At 47.1% G+C, this 18,024-nt stretch overlaps 1 protein-coding gene across 1 annotated transcript in view, besides 7 other annotated features; it reads left to right on the plus strand.

Annotated features, from left to right (window-relative positions):
• Nucleotides 3,678–4,283: an enhancer, noted in NCBI's record as "H3K27ac-H3K4me1 hESC enhancer chr1:25069429-25070034 (GRCh37/hg19 assembly coordinates)". NCBI's record gives its function as "activates a minimal SCP1, AML or CMV promoter by ChIP-STARR-seq in naive H9 embryonic stem cells {active_cell/tissue: H9 hESC(naive)}" and the evidence as "EXISTENCE:reporter gene assay evidence [ECO:0000049][PMID:30033119]".
• Nucleotides 5,496–6,101: an enhancer, noted in NCBI's record as "H3K27ac-H3K4me1 hESC enhancer chr1:25071247-25071852 (GRCh37/hg19 assembly coordinates)". NCBI's record gives its function as "activates a minimal SCP1, AML or CMV promoter by ChIP-STARR-seq in primed H9 embryonic stem cells {active_cell/tissue: H9 hESC(primed)}" and the evidence as "EXISTENCE:reporter gene assay evidence [ECO:0000049][PMID:30033119]".
• Nucleotides 5,496–6,758: a biological region, named in NCBI's record as "hESC enhancers GRCh37_chr1:25071247-25071852 and GRCh37_chr1:25071853-25072458".
• Nucleotides 5,789–6,498: a silencer, noted in NCBI's record as "silent region_437". NCBI's record gives its function as "represses an Ori minimal core promoter by ATAC-STARR-seq in GM12878 lymphoblastoid cells {active_cell/tissue: GM12878}" and the evidence as "EXISTENCE:reporter gene assay evidence [ECO:0000049][PMID:35858748]".
• Nucleotides 6,102–6,707: an enhancer, noted in NCBI's record as "H3K27ac hESC enhancer chr1:25071853-25072458 (GRCh37/hg19 assembly coordinates)". NCBI's record gives its function as "activates a minimal SCP1, AML or CMV promoter by ChIP-STARR-seq in primed H9 embryonic stem cells {active_cell/tissue: H9 hESC(primed)}" and the evidence as "EXISTENCE:reporter gene assay evidence [ECO:0000049][PMID:30033119]".
• Nucleotides 6,187–18,024, plus strand: part of CLIC4 (chloride intracellular channel 4) — a 98,875-nt gene continuing 87,037 nt past the window's right edge. Inside the window, exon 1 of the mRNA NM_013943.3 lies at nt 6,187–6,365. Within this exon, the coding sequence (NP_039234.1) occupies nt 6,294–6,365 (72 nt within the window). The 5' untranslated portion in view covers nt 6,187–6,293. The remainder of the gene's footprint in view (nt 6,366–18,024) is intronic.
• Nucleotides 6,599–6,758: a silencer, noted in NCBI's record as "silent region_438". NCBI's record gives its function as "represses an Ori minimal core promoter by ATAC-STARR-seq in GM12878 lymphoblastoid cells {active_cell/tissue: GM12878}" and the evidence as "EXISTENCE:reporter gene assay evidence [ECO:0000049][PMID:35858748]".
• Nucleotides 10,220–10,299: a silencer, noted in NCBI's record as "silent region_439". NCBI's record gives its function as "represses an Ori minimal core promoter by ATAC-STARR-seq in GM12878 lymphoblastoid cells {active_cell/tissue: GM12878}" and the evidence as "EXISTENCE:reporter gene assay evidence [ECO:0000049][PMID:35858748]".

The raw sequence follows: 18,024 nt of genomic DNA on the forward strand, positions 1-18,024 counted from the left end.
CCTGCCTCAGCCTCCTGAGTAGCTGGGATTATAGGCGTACATCACCACACTTGACTGATTTTTTGTATTTTTTTTTTTTTTTTTAGTAATGATGGGTTTCACCATGTTGGCCAGGCTGGTCTTAAATTCCTGACCTCAAGTGATTCGCGCATCTCGGCCTCCCAAAGTTCTGGGATTACAGGCGTGAGCCACCGCACCCGGCCCCATTTATTAGATTTAAGTGGCATGTCAGGGTCTTCATTCTGAAGGCTTCTGTGTATATATATTAAATAAATTTGTATGCCTTTTCTCCTATTAACCAATCTGCCTCATGTCAGTAACTTTTCAGTGAACTTTTAGGGGACCGGGAGCCTACGGCCTCCACAGTATGGTGCAGTGATCAGGGTGATCAAAGCTACTGTTCTGTTCTGGAAGCCGTAGTGAAGAGAACCCAGGAAACTCACCTGCCTGCAAAGGGGACACAATTGGAAACACCAGTTATTTTATCAAGGTTTTGACCAGAATGGGATATTTTAAAATATGAGCAAACTGCTTTGAGGAATTGAAATAGACTTTATAGAACTGATAAACGTCCCTTAGAAAGACTGGCCTTGTGCCTTGTTTATGCAGGTCCTTTAGAGGGTTCCTGACCTGTGGCCCTGCAAGCTAAAACTTACATCTTGTGATATAGAAAAGAAGACTAAGACGTGACCACACTTGAACAGGTCTTTTTATGAGGATAATGACTGTCTCCAAGGATCATTTAAATTCTAAAGAAAACTATTTACAAGTTAATCCCTGCTCCCCCATCCAGTCATTCTCCTTCCCAACCCCTTATTGCCCCTAAACAGAATTCTTCTCCCCCTTCACATAGCCTGTTTTACCAGGATGCAAGCTCCCATTCTTTCTGTAACCTCAAGATGATATATAAGTTTCCGTAATTCATGGGGGAGGTGGGTCTTCATTCTGAAGGCTCCTGTGTATGTATGTGAAATCAATTTGTATGACTTTTCTCCTATTAAAAAAATAAATAAAAAATAAGTTGCATGCCATTCTGGGGAGCATGAGGAAATCTTTTTTTTTTTTGAGACAGAGTTTCGCTGTTGTCACCCAGGCTGGAGTACACTGGCACGATCTCGGCTCACTGCAACCTCTGCCTCCTGGGTTCAAGCGATTCTCCTGCCTCAGCCTCCCGAGCAGCTGGAATTACAGGTGCCTGCCACCAAGCCCAGCTACTTTTTGTATTTTTAGTAGAAATGGGGTTTCACCATGTTGGCCAGTCTGGTCTCGAGCTCCTGGCCTCAAGTGATCCACCTGCCTCGGCCTCCCTAAGTGCTGGGATTACAGGCTTGAGCCACCGTGCCTGGCCCTCAGTTTCCTTATTTGTAAAATGGGGACAATGAAAATTATGCCTTGCAATGCTGGGGATGGTGGCTCATGCCTGTAATCCCAGCACTTTGGGAGGCCGAGGCGGGTGGATCACTTAATTAAGGTCAGGAGTTTGAGACCAGTCTGGCCAACATGGCAAAACCCCGTCTCTACTAAAAGTACAAAAATTAGCCAGGTGTGGTGGCACATGCCTGTAATCCCAGCTACTTGAGAGGCTGGGACATGAGAATCACTTGAACCTGGGAGGTGGAGGTTGCAGTGAGATGAGATTGTGCCACTACACTTCAACCTGGGCGACAGAGTGAGACTCCGTCTCAAAAAAAATAAAAATAAATATAAATAAATAAATAAATAAATCAAGCCTTGCAAGACCATGATGAATAAATATGATTGGATATGAAAGCACCCAGCTAGGTGTCTGGCATGCAGTGTGAGAGCTCAGTGACCGGTCAAGAATATGGACAGATGGGAATAATACCAACAGCTAGTGTCTACAGAGCACTTACAATCCAAGCTCTTAACATAGACTAATTTATCAATGATCCTATTAAATATTAATAGGTACTAATTTTAGATCCATGTTTACAGACGAGAAAATGGTACTAATTTAGATCCATTTTTACTGATGAGAAAATGAAGCACAGAGAGGTTAAGTAAGTATCCTGAGTTAGTAAATAACAGAAGCAGGATTGGAACCCAGGCAGTCTGGCCCCAGAGTCCATGTGCATAGCAGCTCATTCTGCTGCTGAAATTGCAGAACTTTGGGCTGAGACAGTCAGCGAGCAGCACCACAGAGTTAGAAGTGGGAGGAGGAAAGTGTCATCAAGGGAGGCTTACTGGAGGAAAACCTGACCCCCTGTGTAGGGGCAGTCATAAACACAAACCACCTGGCTTCCCAGACTGGAAGAGCGTGACAATCCAAATGTCATGTCAGGGGTACATGAAACCATAGGATAAACATGGTACAGTCACTCACTCCATAAGCTATTTTTTTTTTTTTTTGAGACAGAGTTTCGCTCTTGTTGTCCAGGCTGGAGTGCAATGGCGCAATCTCGGCTTACTGCAACCTCTGCCTCCCAGGTTCAAGCGATTCTCCTGCCTCAGCCTCCCAAGTAGCTGGGATTGCAGGCATGCACCACCATGCCTGGCTAATTTTTTGTATTTTTAGTGGAGACGGGGTTTCTCCATGTTGGTCAGGCTGGTCTCGAACTCCCGACCTCAGGTGATCCATCCGCCTTGGCCTCCCAAAATCCTGGGATTATAGGCGTGAGCCACTGCGCCCGGCCCACTCCATAAATTTTTATTGTGTACCATGAGCTGTCCTCTGAGCCAGGAATATAGCCATAAACAAAACCAAACAAAAAATCCCTGCCCTTATGGCATTTATGTTCTAGTGGGAGAAGACAGACAATAAGCAGATAAATAGGTAGATATGTATCAGAGGGTTGTAAGTGTTATGAAGAGAGATAAAGTGGAGGGTGGAGTGAAAGATAGCAACTTGCAACGTTGCATAGGGTGGTATTTGGGGAGAGCGCTCTGAGAAGATGACATTTGAGCAAAGAGCCAAAGGAAGTAAGGGAGTGGGAGTTGCAGAAATTCTGGGGGAAGAATGTTCCAGAGAGGGGGAAGAGCAAATGCAAAGGCCCTGAGGCCACAGTGTGCTTCGCATATCCAAGGACTAGAAAGGAGGCCAGTGAAGCTGGGGTGGAGAGCACAGGGGAGAATGGTAGGAGATGAGGTCAGAGGGGTGTGTGTGGGAGGAGACAACATGTCTCCACCCATCTTAAAGATTTCTGTGTGCTATAAAAACAAGCCTGAGTAAAGAATGTAAAGCAGGCATGCAATTCAAAATTCGAAGAGGAGACTTGACTGCTATGTGGTTAGGGGGCCTCCCCTGCATAAACATCCTCTTTCCCTTTCACCCACTCCCAGGACTGACTGCCCATCCATGGGAGCCATATGAGGGCGGAACTTGGGAAACTGTAGGTGTGACTGAGACTACGTCTAAGCACAGGCTCTGGGTCTGAGCCTCTTCCTGGGGGGCTTCCTGTTGGGTAGGAGGAGCCCAGGAGATCATCACCACCTCAGGGCTCTGTGGAGAATGCCCCTGGCTTCCTCCTAGCTAAGATCTCTGTTTAGTCAATGAAGCCTAAAGGGCCCTGGTCTGTTCCTCCTTCCATACCCTGGTGCTGTGAGGCCAGTTGGAGCCTGTGAAGGGCAAGTCACCACCGGGAATATTTGCTGCCTCTAACTCAAATTCTTTTTTTTTGAGATGGATTTCGCTCTGTCGCCCAGGCTGGAGTACAGTGGCGTGATCTCGGCTCACAGCCACCTTTGCCTCCCCGGTTCAAGCGATTCTCCTGCCTCAGCCTCCCGAGTAGCTAGGATTACAGGCATGTGCCACCACACCCGGCTAATTTTTGTATTTTTAGTAAAGATGGGGTTTCGCCATGCTGGCCAGGCTGGTCTCGAACTCCTGACCTCAGGTGATCCACTCGCCTCGGTCTCCCAACGTGTTGGGATTACAGGCATGAGCCACTGTGCCCGGCCTCAATTTGATCAATTCTCAGGTACATTGAGTTTCTGCTGAATTGTTTTTTGGCTTAGATCTGCTTTGAACTGATTCACCATTTGGTTCCTTTTTGGTAGGGCAGAGAGGGTGGATTCTGGAAGGAAACTTTGCTTCAGTTCATGATTCTATGAAAAATTAACACGGTTCAGTCCAGAGTCTAGTCAGTCACTTCAGGATTTTCATGGTTCAAGCCCCCATCTAAGGGGAGCCTCCTGGAATTTATTTATTTATTTTCAACGAACTAGCCGGGCATAGAGAGAGTAGAATATGATGCCACATTCTAGCCTGCAGGGGTGGTAGGGACAGAATAAGTCTCAATGCAGTTAACAGCCATACTGACGGAGCAGCACATATGGTAAGGCAAGAATCAGTAATTAGCCCCACCCACTTCTAGATAATGAAACTGAGGCTTAGGGGTTTTAAGGACACTGCCTTGTCAGATTTGAACTTAAACAGTCAGACTACAGAGCACGTGTTCCTGACCACTGGGATACACTGGCTCTTTCACAGAGCCTCTGTGAGAAAATTTGAGCAACTTACTTTGGGCTGGCAGAGGAAGAAATTGCAAGTTTCACTGTATTTTCATGCCTACGTACAATTTGTTCAAACATTCTGGTATGTGCTAGGCACCGAGGATATGGAGACAAACCTCCCATGTCTGGGCCTCCTGGAACTCACTATTTATCCCAACCTGGGAAGTTGGGAGGAGTAGCTGTGAGTCAAGTATTATGGAAAGTCAGAAAAGGGCACAAGTAATTGTTTCCAGAGGAGGTGAAACTTGCCCCAGGCACTCAACAGCAGCAAACTAGGACCAGGTGCCTACAATCTCAAGGCAAGCACAGCTCTTGCCCTCGGGGGCTTAAATCCCAGGGCAGTTTAACTGGTTTGCGGACCACCTACTTCAGAATTGTCCTGGTGCTTGCTAAGATGTGGATTTCTCTTTTTCCCAGAGGATCTGGGAAACACAAAAAGCGGGGCTGCGTGTAGCACCTAGGTGATTCTGATGCACACTCAAATTTGACAGGTGAGCCGGGGGGAAGAAATGGGTGTGGGCAGTGGGGAACAAGATGGACAACGACTTGGAAGTCCTTAGTGGCCTGCAGGCACTGAGATTGCAGTTCAAGATCTTGAGCTTTGGGAGTTGTTACTCTCCAAGGGCTAGCTCAGAGCCTGAAACACAGTAAGGTTTCATAAATATTTGTGAATATGCGCCCGGCGCGGTGGCTCACGCCTGTAATCCCAGCACTTTGGGAGGCCGAGGCGGGCGGATCACGAGGTCAGGAGATCGAGACCATCCTGACTAACACGGTGAAACCCCGTCTCTACTAAAAATACAAAAATTAGCCGGGCGCGGTGGCGGGTGCCTGTAGTCCCAGCTACTTGGGAGGCTGAGGCAGGAGAATGGCGTGAACCCGGGGCAGAGTTTGCAGTGAGCCGAGATCGCGCCACTGCACTCCAGCCTAGGCGATAGAGCCAGACTCCGTCTCAAAAAAAAAAAAAAAAAAAATATATATATATATATATATATTTGTGAATATGCTGGCTGCCAAGATCGAAACGATCAGGAGCGTCAAAGGGAAAAACGAAGTCAGAGGCAGAAGAAAAAGGTGTTCCCCAGGCGATGAAAACTTTCCAGTAAGTTGTCTTGGAAAAGGCAACTCCGCGTAATAGAGGGACTTGGGGAGGTAGCCGCTGCGGGAAAGGGCGATGAGTCCTGGGGTGCTGCAGCGGGGGAGTGGGTAGGAGGCGCCTCCTAGCTTCCCCAGGGCGGCCGAGGCATGAGGTCACCTGGCACAGCAACAGCAGCAGCTGCGGAGGACGCGCAGGCGCTGCGGCGGGAGGCAGTGTCAGGCTCGGGCCCCTGGGGAATTCCTCCCCTCCTTTCCCCCCCGCACCAGTCCCCTAGAGAGGCGTACCCGGGTCCCGCCCGCCAGAGCCTGAGCTTTGTACCGCCCACCAAGGCCACGCCCCCTACCAGCTGTGGGGCGCCGCAGAGGTCCTTTCTTCGGCTCCGGAGCGGTCCCTCCGCCTTCCCCGCTCGAGGCCACGCCCCCGTGCTCCTGCCGCCTTATTTTCCCCGGAGAGTCCCGAGGCGCCGCGCCTTGGCCCTGCCTACAGCCCGAGGCCCCGCCCCCGGCGCCCCTCCCAGCCGTTTGAAGCGGCTCGGGCTGCGGCTGGCTCAGAGTGGCGCGGGGGGCGTGGGGCGGTGCTGAGGAGCTGAAGCCGTGGCCAGCTCGACGCCGGACAGTCCAGCGAGCAGCACGGCGGGAACCGGCAGCCGGAGCAGTCCCGGAGCAGAAGCAGCAGCAGCAGCAGCAGCCCTCGCCGTTCGCGGAGCGCAGCCGAGCCGGCCATGGCGTTGTCGATGCCGCTGAATGGGCTGAAGGAGGAGGACAAAGAGCCCCTCATCGAGCTCTTCGTCAAGGTGAGCGCTCGCCTCGCGGTCCCGCCCGGCAGATCCCCCGGCTCCCTCCCGGCTGCGGGGAGCGGCGTCCCGGGGCTCTCCTGAGGCGCCCCCGCTCGGCGCCAGCACCCGTCCCGCTGCGGGCACCCGCGCCCCCGGCCCATTGTCTGGGGGCCGCCCGCGCCTTCCCGCCTCCGAGGGCCCGTCGAGGGGTCCGGGTTGGGGACCCGGGCGGCGGCCACCGTCTCCAGCGCGTAGGCATCGGCGGACGCCAGACCAGCGTCCCGCGCCCGGGTGGGTCGGGAAGAGCCCACGGGCGGGACTTGCCTGCCCCGGGGCCCCAGCGCCGGGCGCGCGCGGGTCCTGTCACCACCCCCCGCCCGGGCGCCGGGGCCCGGCCCCACCCGCTCCCCAGCGCTCCGGTCCGCCGCCCGGAGCCCGAACTGCGGCCCGCCGCCCGATGAGCTTTCAAACGAACTTCTTTGAACGCGTTTTTGAAAAAGCATTTGCTCCCCACTGGTCTGAAACGGAAACTTTAATTTTCGATGCAATCTTAAACAAATTTACCAAAGAGCAGGTGCTCTTGGACCTTCGGAAAAGACCGAGATTCCCAACTTGTGTTTTTCTGTCTTGGGCATTTACTGGCTTTCTCGTTTCTCAAGCGCGGAGTGTTCTGTATGATGCAACATTTTGGCTTCTCCCCCCGGCGTTGCTGCTTCGGGAAGGATTGTGTGTGCCCTTTTGTTTTGAAAGAAATTGAGGGAGAGAATTCTTAACTTGCTTGGGCTTTAAAGGGTTGGTTTTCCCTTGTGTCTTCAGCTTTCATGTGTGGAATTTATTTGCTTACACATACTACCCCTCTTCCTTTGCTTTTCTCTTTAATACTTTTTATTTTAGCAAAGGAGAGAGTCGAAGTTATAAACATCTGGATCCAGCTCCTTCCCTCAAAACTTAAAAAAAACACTTTGAGCTTCTTCCAGCCACTTAAAAAGCCAGGCTCATTCAGAGCTAGGCAACATACCGGAAAGTAAATGGTCATCTAGAACTATTGGGTTCTTTTTTTTCCCCGAGTTTTTACTTTAAAGAAAGGACATTTCAGGATGTGTTTAAGAGATAGAGAAGGGCTGGGCGCGGTGGCTCATGCCTGTAATCGCAGCACTTTCGGAGGCCGAGGTGGGAGGATTACTTGAGTCCAGCCTGAACAAGATGGCGAAACCCTGTCTCTACAAAAAAATTCAAAAATTAGCTGGGAGCGATGTTACGCGCCTGTACTACTCTGGAGGCTGCGGTGGGAGAACTGCTTGAGCCCGGGAGGTCGAGGCTGCAGTGAGCCACGTCGCACCACTGCATTCCAGCCTGGGCGACAGAGCAAGACCCTGTCTCAAACAAAAGAGATGGAGAGAAGAAATAATCTGCATTTACCTCTGCAGTCTTCAGTAATGACTGGAACAGTGTTTGCCTTAGGATTTTCTTTCAATTGTCAATTTTCGATTTTTTTTTTTTTTTTTTTTTTGGTCCAGGGAACTGAAACAGCAGACAGGTATAGAACCCCCAAAATATCAAAGCGTTTCGGTTACTTTGAGTGGCAGATATAGTACTTTGAGATGCGTAGAATGTAGGAAGGAACCTGAAATACAAGAAAGGAAGGAGGCCGGGCGCGGTGGCTCACGCCTGTAATCCCAGCACTTTGGGAGGCTGAGGTGGGCAGATCACGAGGTCAGGAGATCGAGACCATCCTGGCCAACATGGTGAAACCCCATCTCTACTAAAAATACAAAAATTAGCTGGGCGTGGTGGCGCGTGCCTGTAGTCCCAGCTACTCGGGAGGCTGAGGCAGGAGAATTGCTTGAACCCGGGAGGCAGAGGTTGTGGTGTGCGGAGATTGCGCCACTGTACTCCAGCCTGGGCAACAGAGTAAGACTCCATCTCAAAAAAAAAAAAAAAAAAGAAAGAAAGGAAGGGTGGTGGGTGGAAAACAGCATGGAGAAGGGAAACAAGTGGGCCAGAGATGAGTTAAAAAAAATTTTTACTGAGTGAGGAATAGGAAGGAATTTCCATAAACTCAAAAAAAGTGCATCCATGAATAATCTGTAAAACATGATACTTAACGGTGAAACTTTAGAACAGTATTAAACTTAGAATAAGCTACTATCGGGCCGGGTGAGGTGACTCACACCTGTAGCATTTTGGGATGCCGAGATGGGGAGATCACTTGAGGCCAGGAGTTCGAGACCAGCCTGGCCAACATGGTGAAACCCTGTCTCTACTAAAAATAGAAAAATTAGCCAGGCATGGTGGTGGGCCCAGCTATTCGGGAGGCTGAGGCATGAGAATCGCTTGAACCGGGGAGGCAAAGGTTGGAGTGAGCCAAGATCAAGTCACTGCACTCCAGCCTGGGCGACAGAGTGAGACTTCGTCTCAAAAAAAAAAAAAAAAAGATAAAGCTATTATCAGTTATGGCTCTATTCAGTATTCTATTATTCTATTGGAGGAGCTAATCAAAGAAGACAAGAAAAATTAAGTATCTGAATTAGGAAGAGATCAGTGATTAATGCCCTGCTTACTATTAATTTCATCTTTCAGTTAGAATAGCAGAGGGGCGTGTGCAGTTTTCCAAACTTGAGTCACTTGCATCCCCTTTCTGTTTTTCATATTTGTGTTGAGAACCACTGAAAATCATCCTTCCTACCACTAGTTGTAAGCCTTTCTCATTGGGCTTGGTGGCAGAGAATCAGGGTTCAAGTCACAGTTCTTTACTCCTTGGTTGGGTGACCCTAGGCAGTTTGTTTTCACTCTTTAAGCCTTGTTTGTCTCATTTGTGAAATAAGAAATGTTTTCTGCTACCCAGTGATTCAACATAGGCAAACTTTGCACTGATACAGATCAGGTTTTTTGTTTTTTTTTTTTTTTTTTTTTTTAATGAGATGGTGTCTCGCTCTGTCACCCTGGCTGCTGGAGTGCAGTGGCGCGATCTCGGCTCACTGCACCCTCTGCCTCCCAGGTTGAAGTGATTCTTCTGCCTTTGCCTTCCGAGGAGCGCATGCACCACTACGCCTGGCTGATTTTTGTATTTTAGAAGAGACTGGGTTTTACCATGTTGGCCAGGCTGGTCTCAAACTCCTGACCTTAAGTGATCTGCCTGCCTTGGCCTCCCAAAGTGCTGGGATTACAGGCTTGAGCCTCTGTGCTTGGCCCCTAGACCAGTTTGTTTGAAAGGGGAAAAAAGGACAGGTAAAATGTGGTAAAGGGCATTCTTGATCTCTTCTCAAAACCTACGTGTGGGAAATGCAAATGGGGGAAATACCCTTGTAAATATAGTTATTTTGAAAGCAGTGGACCAGGTGTGGTGGCACACTCCTGTAATCCCAGCCTTTTGGGAGGCGGAGGGGGGTGGATCACTTGATGTTGAGACCAGCCTGGGCAACATGGCGAAACCGCATTTCTACTAAAAATACAAAAATTAGCCACGCATAGTGGTGCATGGCTGTAATCCCAGCTACTCGGGAGACTGAGGCAGGAGAATTGCTTGAACCTGGGAGGCGGTGGTTGCAGTGAGCCGAGATAGTGCCACTGCACCCCAGCCTGGGTGACAGAGCAAGACTCCATCTCAAAAAATAAAAATTAAAAAAAAAAAAAAGAAAGTAGAGAGGGTGCAGAGGCTGTGGTTGTCCAGAGTGGTATGTTGAACAGTGTTAACCTGCCAAGAGGTATCTGAGTTTGTAAAAGAAAACTATTTACAGTTGAAGCACATAGCATGTATGGAAATTAGAAATTTGGTGGTGGCGCTAGGGGAAAGGCCAAGAGATGTAATGGGGCTTTGAGCCTACCTGTCTAGCTAGCACTGAGCTTCACATTTAAGAGAGAGAGATGAGCACCTTCTCAAATAGTATGACTGAACTCACAGCTGCATTTCCTTCCTTGTGAGTAGTTTTTGGAGTTGTCTGCCTGTGAGCCCATTAACTCCCTGTCATCTATATAACAGCAGGATGGTTTTTTTGGTTTGTTTTTGTTTTGTTTTACCCTCAACATCTGGAGGATAGATAGGATGCCCTCTCAAAAGTAAAAAAGGCAGCTGGGCTGTGGTGGCTCACGCCTGTAATCCTAGCACTGTAGGAGGCCAAGGAGGATGAATCTTTTGAGCGCAGGAGTTCTAGACCAGCCTGGGCAACATGGCGAGACCCTGTCTCTACAAAAACTATTAAAAAAATTGCCAGGCACAGTGGCTCACGCCTGTAATCCCAGTACTTTGGGAGGCTGAGGCAGGCGGATCTCTTGAGCCTAGGAGTTCGAGACCAGCCTGGGCAACGTAGCAAAACCCCATCTCTACAAAAAATATAAAAAATTAGCTGGGTGTGGTGATACATGCCTGTGGTCCCAGCTGAGGTGGGAGGATTCCTTTAGCCTGGGAGGCAGAGGTTGGCTGTGAGCCGTGATCGTGCCACTGCACTCCAGCTTGGGTGAGACCCTATCTCTAAATAAATAAGTAAGTAACTAAGCTGGGCCTGGTGGCCCACGCCTGCAGCCCTAGCCCTAGAGGCTGCGGGTGGGAGGATTGTTTGAGCCCAGGAGTTCGAGGCTGCAGTGAGCTTATGATCATGTACCTGCACTCCAATCTGGGTGACAGAACAAGACCCTGTCTCGGGAGGAAAACAACAAAGGCTTATAATGGCAATCATCCTCAACAGTGGAGATGCTCTCTACCCCACTCAGGAGCCTGGTAGGTGTATATATTTCCAGCTGGGAACCACCAACAGATACGGTATATTTGAGACCTTTTAGCAAGGGCATAAGGTCCCTTGTAATCTGGGTTTCTTTCTTTCTTTCTTTCTTTCTTTTTTTTTTTTTTTTTAAGACGGAGTTTCGCTCTTGTTACCCCTCAGCCTCCCGAGTGGCTGGGACTACAGGTGTGCACCACCACACCTGGCTAATTTTGTATTTTTAGTAGAGACAAGGTTTCTCCATGTTGGTCAGGCTTGTCTCGAACTCCTGACCTCAGGTGATCAGCCTGCCTTGGCCTCCAAAAGTGCTGGGATTACAGGCGTGAGCCACCGAGCCTGGCCTACTGCCTGAGTTTCTAATCCAATATGTCCAGTTACTAATTGTGTATCCCAGGATACATCACTTAAACCTGTCTGTGCCACATCTGCACAGTTGGGATATTAGTAGAACAGTCCTATGGGATAAATTAATATATGTAGTATGCAACAATCTTAGAACAATGTCTAGTACACAGTAAGCAAATAAATGCTAGTTGTGTATAATTTTGTATGAATATATATTTATAGGCAGATCTCCCCTACTAGATAGACAGTAAATTCCTTGAGGATAGGGTGTGCATATGGTTCAGAGTGCCTGCAACTTAAGAGGATGCCAAATGTTTGAAATGAGATTGTGCCCTTCTTTCAGAGAATTCTGTTGTTGAGCATTTTGTTGTCAATGTATGTCTCTACCATGCTTTGGAATTAGAAACCACTTACTGAGATCCCGATGGTTGGAGCATCAAAGCATGGTTCTTCATCCTGATTTCTCTAGCCTCCAGTCTCCAAACCCAGTGTAATTTTATGTACTCACCTCTTTTTTTTCTCCATTTAATACTTCCAGTCTTTTTTTTTTTTTTTTTTTTGAGATGGAGTCTTGCACTGTTACCCGGGCTGGAGTGCAGTGGCACGATCTTGGCTCACTGCAACCTCTGTCTCCCGAGTTCAAGCGATTCTCCTGCCGCAGACTCCCGAGTAGCTGGGGTTACAGGCACCCGCCACCATGGCCAGCTAATTTTTTGTATTTTTAGTAGAGATGAGGAGCTAATTTGTATTTGTAGTAGAGACGGGGTTTCACTATGTTGGCCAGGCTGGTCTTGAACTCCTGACCTAGTGATCCACCCGCTCGGCCTCCCAAAGTGCTGGGATTACAGGCGTGAGCCACCGTGCCAGTCTTTTATATATTTACTAGTGTTTCTTCTTGGCTATGTCCAGAATTTGGGGAACCAAGATTTTTGTTTGGGTAAAACTAAATATTAACTCTTGAACCACAAATGAGAGTAATAGAGATGGGGTTTCTCCATCCAGCTTGGCCAACATGGCGAAACCCCGTCTCTACTAAAAATACAAAAATTAGCCGGTCGTGGTGGCGGGCGCCTGTAATCCCGGCTACTCGGGAGTCTGAGGCAGGAGAATCACTTGAACCCGGGAAGCGGAGATTGCAGTGAGCCGAGATTGTGCCATTGCACTCCAGCCTGAGGGACAAGAGCAAGACTCTGTCTCAAAAACAATCAAATCAAAAAACAGAAAGTAATCCCTTTGCGGAGTTCAGTTTTATGGGCTGGAATTTAAACTTGTTGTTGTGCCACTGTGAACTGGGATGATCACTGTCAGCAAGTAGTCACCAAGCTGCTGGGATTGGGGTGGTGTTTGTAAAAAGTTAATCTGGTGCAGGGTGGCATAACACATAAGAGTCTGTTTCTTTTGAGATATTTGGCAGAGGTTCCTAATGTGCTTGGACTCTGGAGCCACACTGCTTGACTTGAATCTGGCTTCTAGTATGTCAGGCAAGTTTTTAAGCTCTCAGTGCTTCAGTTTCCTAACTTCTAATATCAGGATAATAATAATAGCAATTTTATATGGTTACTGAGGGGATTAAAACTGTTAATCTGTGCATATTAGTTAGGGTAGTTTAAGTTGCTGTAATAAGTTATCCCCCCACAAACAGTGGTTCAAATATGATGGAAGTTTATTTCTCACCCCTCAGTCCAGGAGAATGTCTTAGATGTTAGGGTGGCTTTCCTCCTCAGAGTCATTAAGGGACCCGGGCTCTTTCTAGCTTATTTGTCCACTAACTCCCAGAGCATTGTCCTCTTCTGAATTGTCAAAGTTGGTGGGTGACAAGTACTGTCTGTTGCCAGTGGGGGGTGGAAAATATGGAGGAAGCACATCTTAAGGGCCCCAGCTCAGAAGTTCTACCTGTTACTTCCGGTCACATTCTATTGGAGAGAACTTAATCACATAGCTTCATCTGCAAGAGAGGCTGGCAAGTGTGGTCTAACCGTATACCATCCTATGTAAAGCTTTAGGAAGAGTGCTTGACACATAGTAAACACCTGCTTTTGTCATCGATAATAGTTTATTATTATTATTTTTTTTTGAGACGGAGTCTCGCTCTGTCGCCAGACTGGAATGCAGTGGTGCAATCTTGGCTCACTGCAACCTCTGCTTCCCGGGTTCAAGCGATTCTTCTGCCTCAGCCTCTGGAGTAGCTGGGACTACAGGCGCGTGCCACCATGCTCAGCTAATTTTTGTATTTTTAGTAGAGATGGGGTTTCACCGTGTTGGTCAGGATGGTCTCGATCTCCTGACCCCATGATCTGCCCGCCTTGGCCTCCCGAAGTGCTGGGATTACAGGCGTGAGCCACCGCGCCCAGCCTAATAGTATATTATTTTTAAATGTGGGCTCTATTAGTAGGATCAGGGAGTTCTGTAAATCCTTGAAATTACAGTAAAAAATTCTAATGTGAGGCTTTTTTTCTGGAAATTCCTAAACCAAGGCTAAGAACCACTGTTCTAAAAGAAGTAAATAGTGGAATTCTTAGAGTCAAGAATACTTTATATAAGCAAGGTATAAAAGAAGGGCTTGGGCTAGATGATCACAAAGGTCTCTTCTAGTTATTATTAACTATGACTTAAAGAATGTACCGGCATGAACTAAGTGCTAATACTGAGTTAAGTACTATGGAAGATATAAGAAATTATTAAACAGTTAATTTCTTTAGGTTTACAAATTTTATTGGAAAGAAAACAATACAAGATGGTCCATGCTTAAAGAGTCAAGTGGGGCTCACATTAAGTAGGGCTAGGAGACATGGGGAAAGATGGAAGGAGGCTTAAACTTGACCTTGAAAAAGGAGGTGAATAGGTGGGTTCGGAATAGCCAAGAATGGGAATGTGAGTTTTGACATTATGTGGAAACTCCTTATGCAGGAAACAATTGGTAGATTGATACCTAAGAAGGAACCAGGAGTGATTCAGATCTATAGTGCCAGGGAGACAAGTTATTTAAAAGTTGAGGATGAGACTTTTAAAACCTAACTTGGGTTTTTGTTAATGTATACATTTTCCTAACTTTTTTCATTCTCCCCACACTTTCCTGTGTTTTTGGATTGCTGTCTGTTTAATAACTTTTCAGTGGCACTTGGGAAGGTGCAAATGGATTGTACAGATGGACTGTTTTGACAGTTTAAAGTGGGAATTCTTTATATTGTTTCAAGGACAGGCTTCAAACTTCCCCCCGTCTTTGTTTTTTCTAACAGAAAAAAATGAAATAAATTTTCTATAGGAAATGATGCTGAAAACTGTTCTGGTAATTAACAAAAGCTAACTCAATATTCAGACAATATTACCTTGAATCTAATTGATTTGCCATTCATTTGAGGTTTCCGGGGGGAAAATTCAGGAGACAGAAATGAATGTAAAGTATGAAGTTAATGAAAACCTATTATTTTAACTTTTTGCCTGAGCTGTTCCTGAAGACCTAATAATGCTACTTTTGGCAAAGGCCAAATTTGATGATTTTGGTTTAATGTAAAAACCTGTGAGAAAGGAGCCTAGAATGGGGAAGAGGCAGGAGGCTTTGAGCCTAGGAGACTGAGCACACGAAAAGCTTAACAGAGTATGAATAATGATAGGAAAGAGGCAATTGGGAGAAGAACCTGGCTGTCAGGAAATGTCACAGTTGGTTTGGGAAGATGCCTGCAGAGGTGCCTAGAAGCCAGTAAGTAAGGATGGTGAGCCATCCTTTTCCGCTTCCTGTTTCGTTAGAGCTGTGGAGCCTCCGTGTTCTGATGTCCCCTGAGTAGGGAATTGTGAGTCCATAAAAGGAAAATGTGTTAGGCAGGATGGGAAGTGTGATTAAGGCATGAGTTAAGATTTTGGTCAAGTAGAGGAGTAAGCTAGGATGGGTTTGCCTGTTTTAGACGCTTGCATAGAGAATGGAAAGGGACTTTCTGAAGGAAAATGACATTAGGTCATGGTTACCTATTGTCCAAGGATGATTTAAGACATGTAAATGTAATTTAGGGCATCAGCTAGTGAATTTTCTCATGGCTTTTAATTATATTGTCTATTTCGAGACTTGCCTCTTATCTCTCAGTGGTCAGTTCCAGATATTGGTATAAGAAATAAGAAATAACAATGATAGGCCCACTGCCATGGCTCACACCTGTAATCCCAGCACTTTGGGAGACCGAGGTGGGTGGATCGCCTGAGGTCAGGAGTTCAAGGCCAGCCTGGCCAACATGGTGAATCCCTGTCTCTACTAAAAATACAAAAATTAGCTGGGCGTGGTGGTGGGCGCCTGTAATCCCAGCTACTCGGGAGGCTGAGGCAGGAGAATTGCTTTAACCTGGGAGGCGGAGGTTGCAGTGAGCTGAGATTGTGTTACTACACTCCAGCCTGGACGACAGAGTAAGACTCCGTCTCAAAAAAAAAAAAAAAATTATAGGCTGGGCAAAATAGTGAGTCCTCATCTCTATAAAAACTAAATTTTTGTATTTTTAGTAGAGATGGGGTTTCACCATGTTGGTCAGGCTTGTCTTGAACTCCTGACCTCATGATCTGCCCGCCTCGGCCTCCCAAAGTACTGGGATTACAGGCGTGAGCTACCACTCCTGGCCCCATCTCTACTAAAAATACAAAAATTAGCTAGGCATGATGGTGCACGCCTGTAATCCCAGCTACTCAGGAGGCTGAGGCAGGAGAATCTCTTGAACCCGGGAGGCGGAGGTTGCAGTGAGCTAAGATCACACCACTGCACTCCAGCCTGGGCGACAGTGAGACTCTGTCTCAAAAAAAAAAAAAAAAAAATTAGTCTGGTGTGGTGGTGGTGGTGAGTGCCTCTAGACCTAGCTTTGGCAGGCTGAGGCCGGAGGATCACTTGAGCCTAGAAGTTCAAGGCTGCAATGAGCTATGATTGTGCCACTGCACTCTGGCCTGGGTGACCGACGGAGATCCTATCTCTTAAAAAAAAAAAAGAAAAGAATTATCCATATAATTAGCCTTATATGGTTTCTGTTTTTTCCTTTATTTAAAATAAAACCAAAAAACAAAATTAAAAAAAAAATAATAAAACCAGGATAATATGTTAGTCTAATTTATGAAAGTGACAACTTAGTGCAGATAAATAAGACTGTATTTGAAAACTGTATCAAATGTAGACTAGGAGTATCTTAAATTTTAACTTTTTTTTTGAGATGGAGTTTTGCTCTTGTTGCCCAGGCTGGAGTGCAGTGGTGCGATCTCGGCTCACTGCAACCTCCGCCTCCTGGTTTCAAGCGATTCTCCTGCCTCAACCTCCTGAGTAGCTGGGACTACAGGCACGCACCACCATGCCCAGCTAATTTTTTGATTTTTTTTTTTTTTTTTTTTTGAGACGGAGTCTTGCTCTGTCGCCCAGGCTGGAGTGCAGTGACGCGATCTCTGCTCACTGCAAGCTCCGCCTCCTGGGTTCACGCCATTCTCCTGCCTCAGCCTCCCGAGTAGCTGGGACTACAGGCGCCCGCCACCACGCCTGGCTGATTTTTTCTATTTCTAGTAGAGACGGGGTTTCACCGTGTTAGCTAGGATGGTCTTGATCTCCTGACCTCGTGATCCGCCCGCCTCGGCCTCCCAAAGTGCTGGGATTACAGGCGTGAGCCACCGCGCCCTGCTAACATTAGTGTTTTGAAAAAGTAACTATTAGAACCAGGGCCAGGAACGGACCTGAGTTCAACATGCATATATTTTGTACCTTTAAGCATCCTTTCATAGGTTTCTTTGCTTTTCTTGAAGTTGAAATACAAGCTGTTTCTTGAAGCTGAAATAAACTAGGAGTATGACAGGTTTTCTTTCTCTTTTTTTGGTAACAAAATTATTACTTCCAACTTACATGTGAATAACTCATTCTTATGAAAAGATTTAGTTCTCATTATAATATAGTTGTAAAAATGTCAATCACTTGTAATAACTTAAGTATTGAATTTTACCACTGTGCAGCATAGCTATTTATTTGTGTATGTGGGAGAAGAAAAAAGAGAATCTGAACAAATATTGAAGAATACAAAACCAAACAATCAGATGAAAGCTGAGGTAATTAAGAACTTTTTTTTTTTGAAATGGAGTCTCACTCTGTCGCCTAGGCTGGAGTGCAGTGGCGTGATCTTGGCTCACTGCAACCTCCGCCTCCCGGGTTCAAGCGATTCTTCTGCCTCAGCCTCCTGAGTAGCTGGGATTACAGACACCCACCACCATGCCTGGCTAGTTTTTTTTTTAATGTTTTTTTTTTTGAGACGGAGTTTCGCTCTTGTTGCCGAGGCTGGAGTGCAATGGCACGATCTCTGCTCACCGCAACCTCCGCCTCCTAGGTTCAAGCAATTCTCCTGCCTCAGCCTCCCAAGTAGCTGAGATTACAGGCATGCACCACCACACCCAGCTAATTTTGTATTTTTAGTAGAGATGGGGTTTCTCCATGTTGGTCAAGCTAGTCTGTACCTCTAGACCTCAGGTGATCCGCCTGCCTCGGCCTCCCAAAGTTCTGGGATTACAGATGTGAGCCACCACGCCTGGCCTAGTTTTTGTCTTTTTAGTAGAGACGGGGTTTCACCATGTTGGGTAGGCTGATCTTGAACTCTTGACCTTAGGTGGTCTGCCTGCCTTGA

This window comes from Homo sapiens, chromosome 1 (genome assembly GCF_000001405.40).
Source record: "Homo sapiens chromosome 1, GRCh38.p14 Primary Assembly".
Lineage (NCBI taxonomy): Eukaryota > Metazoa > Chordata > Mammalia > Primates > Hominidae > Homo > Homo sapiens.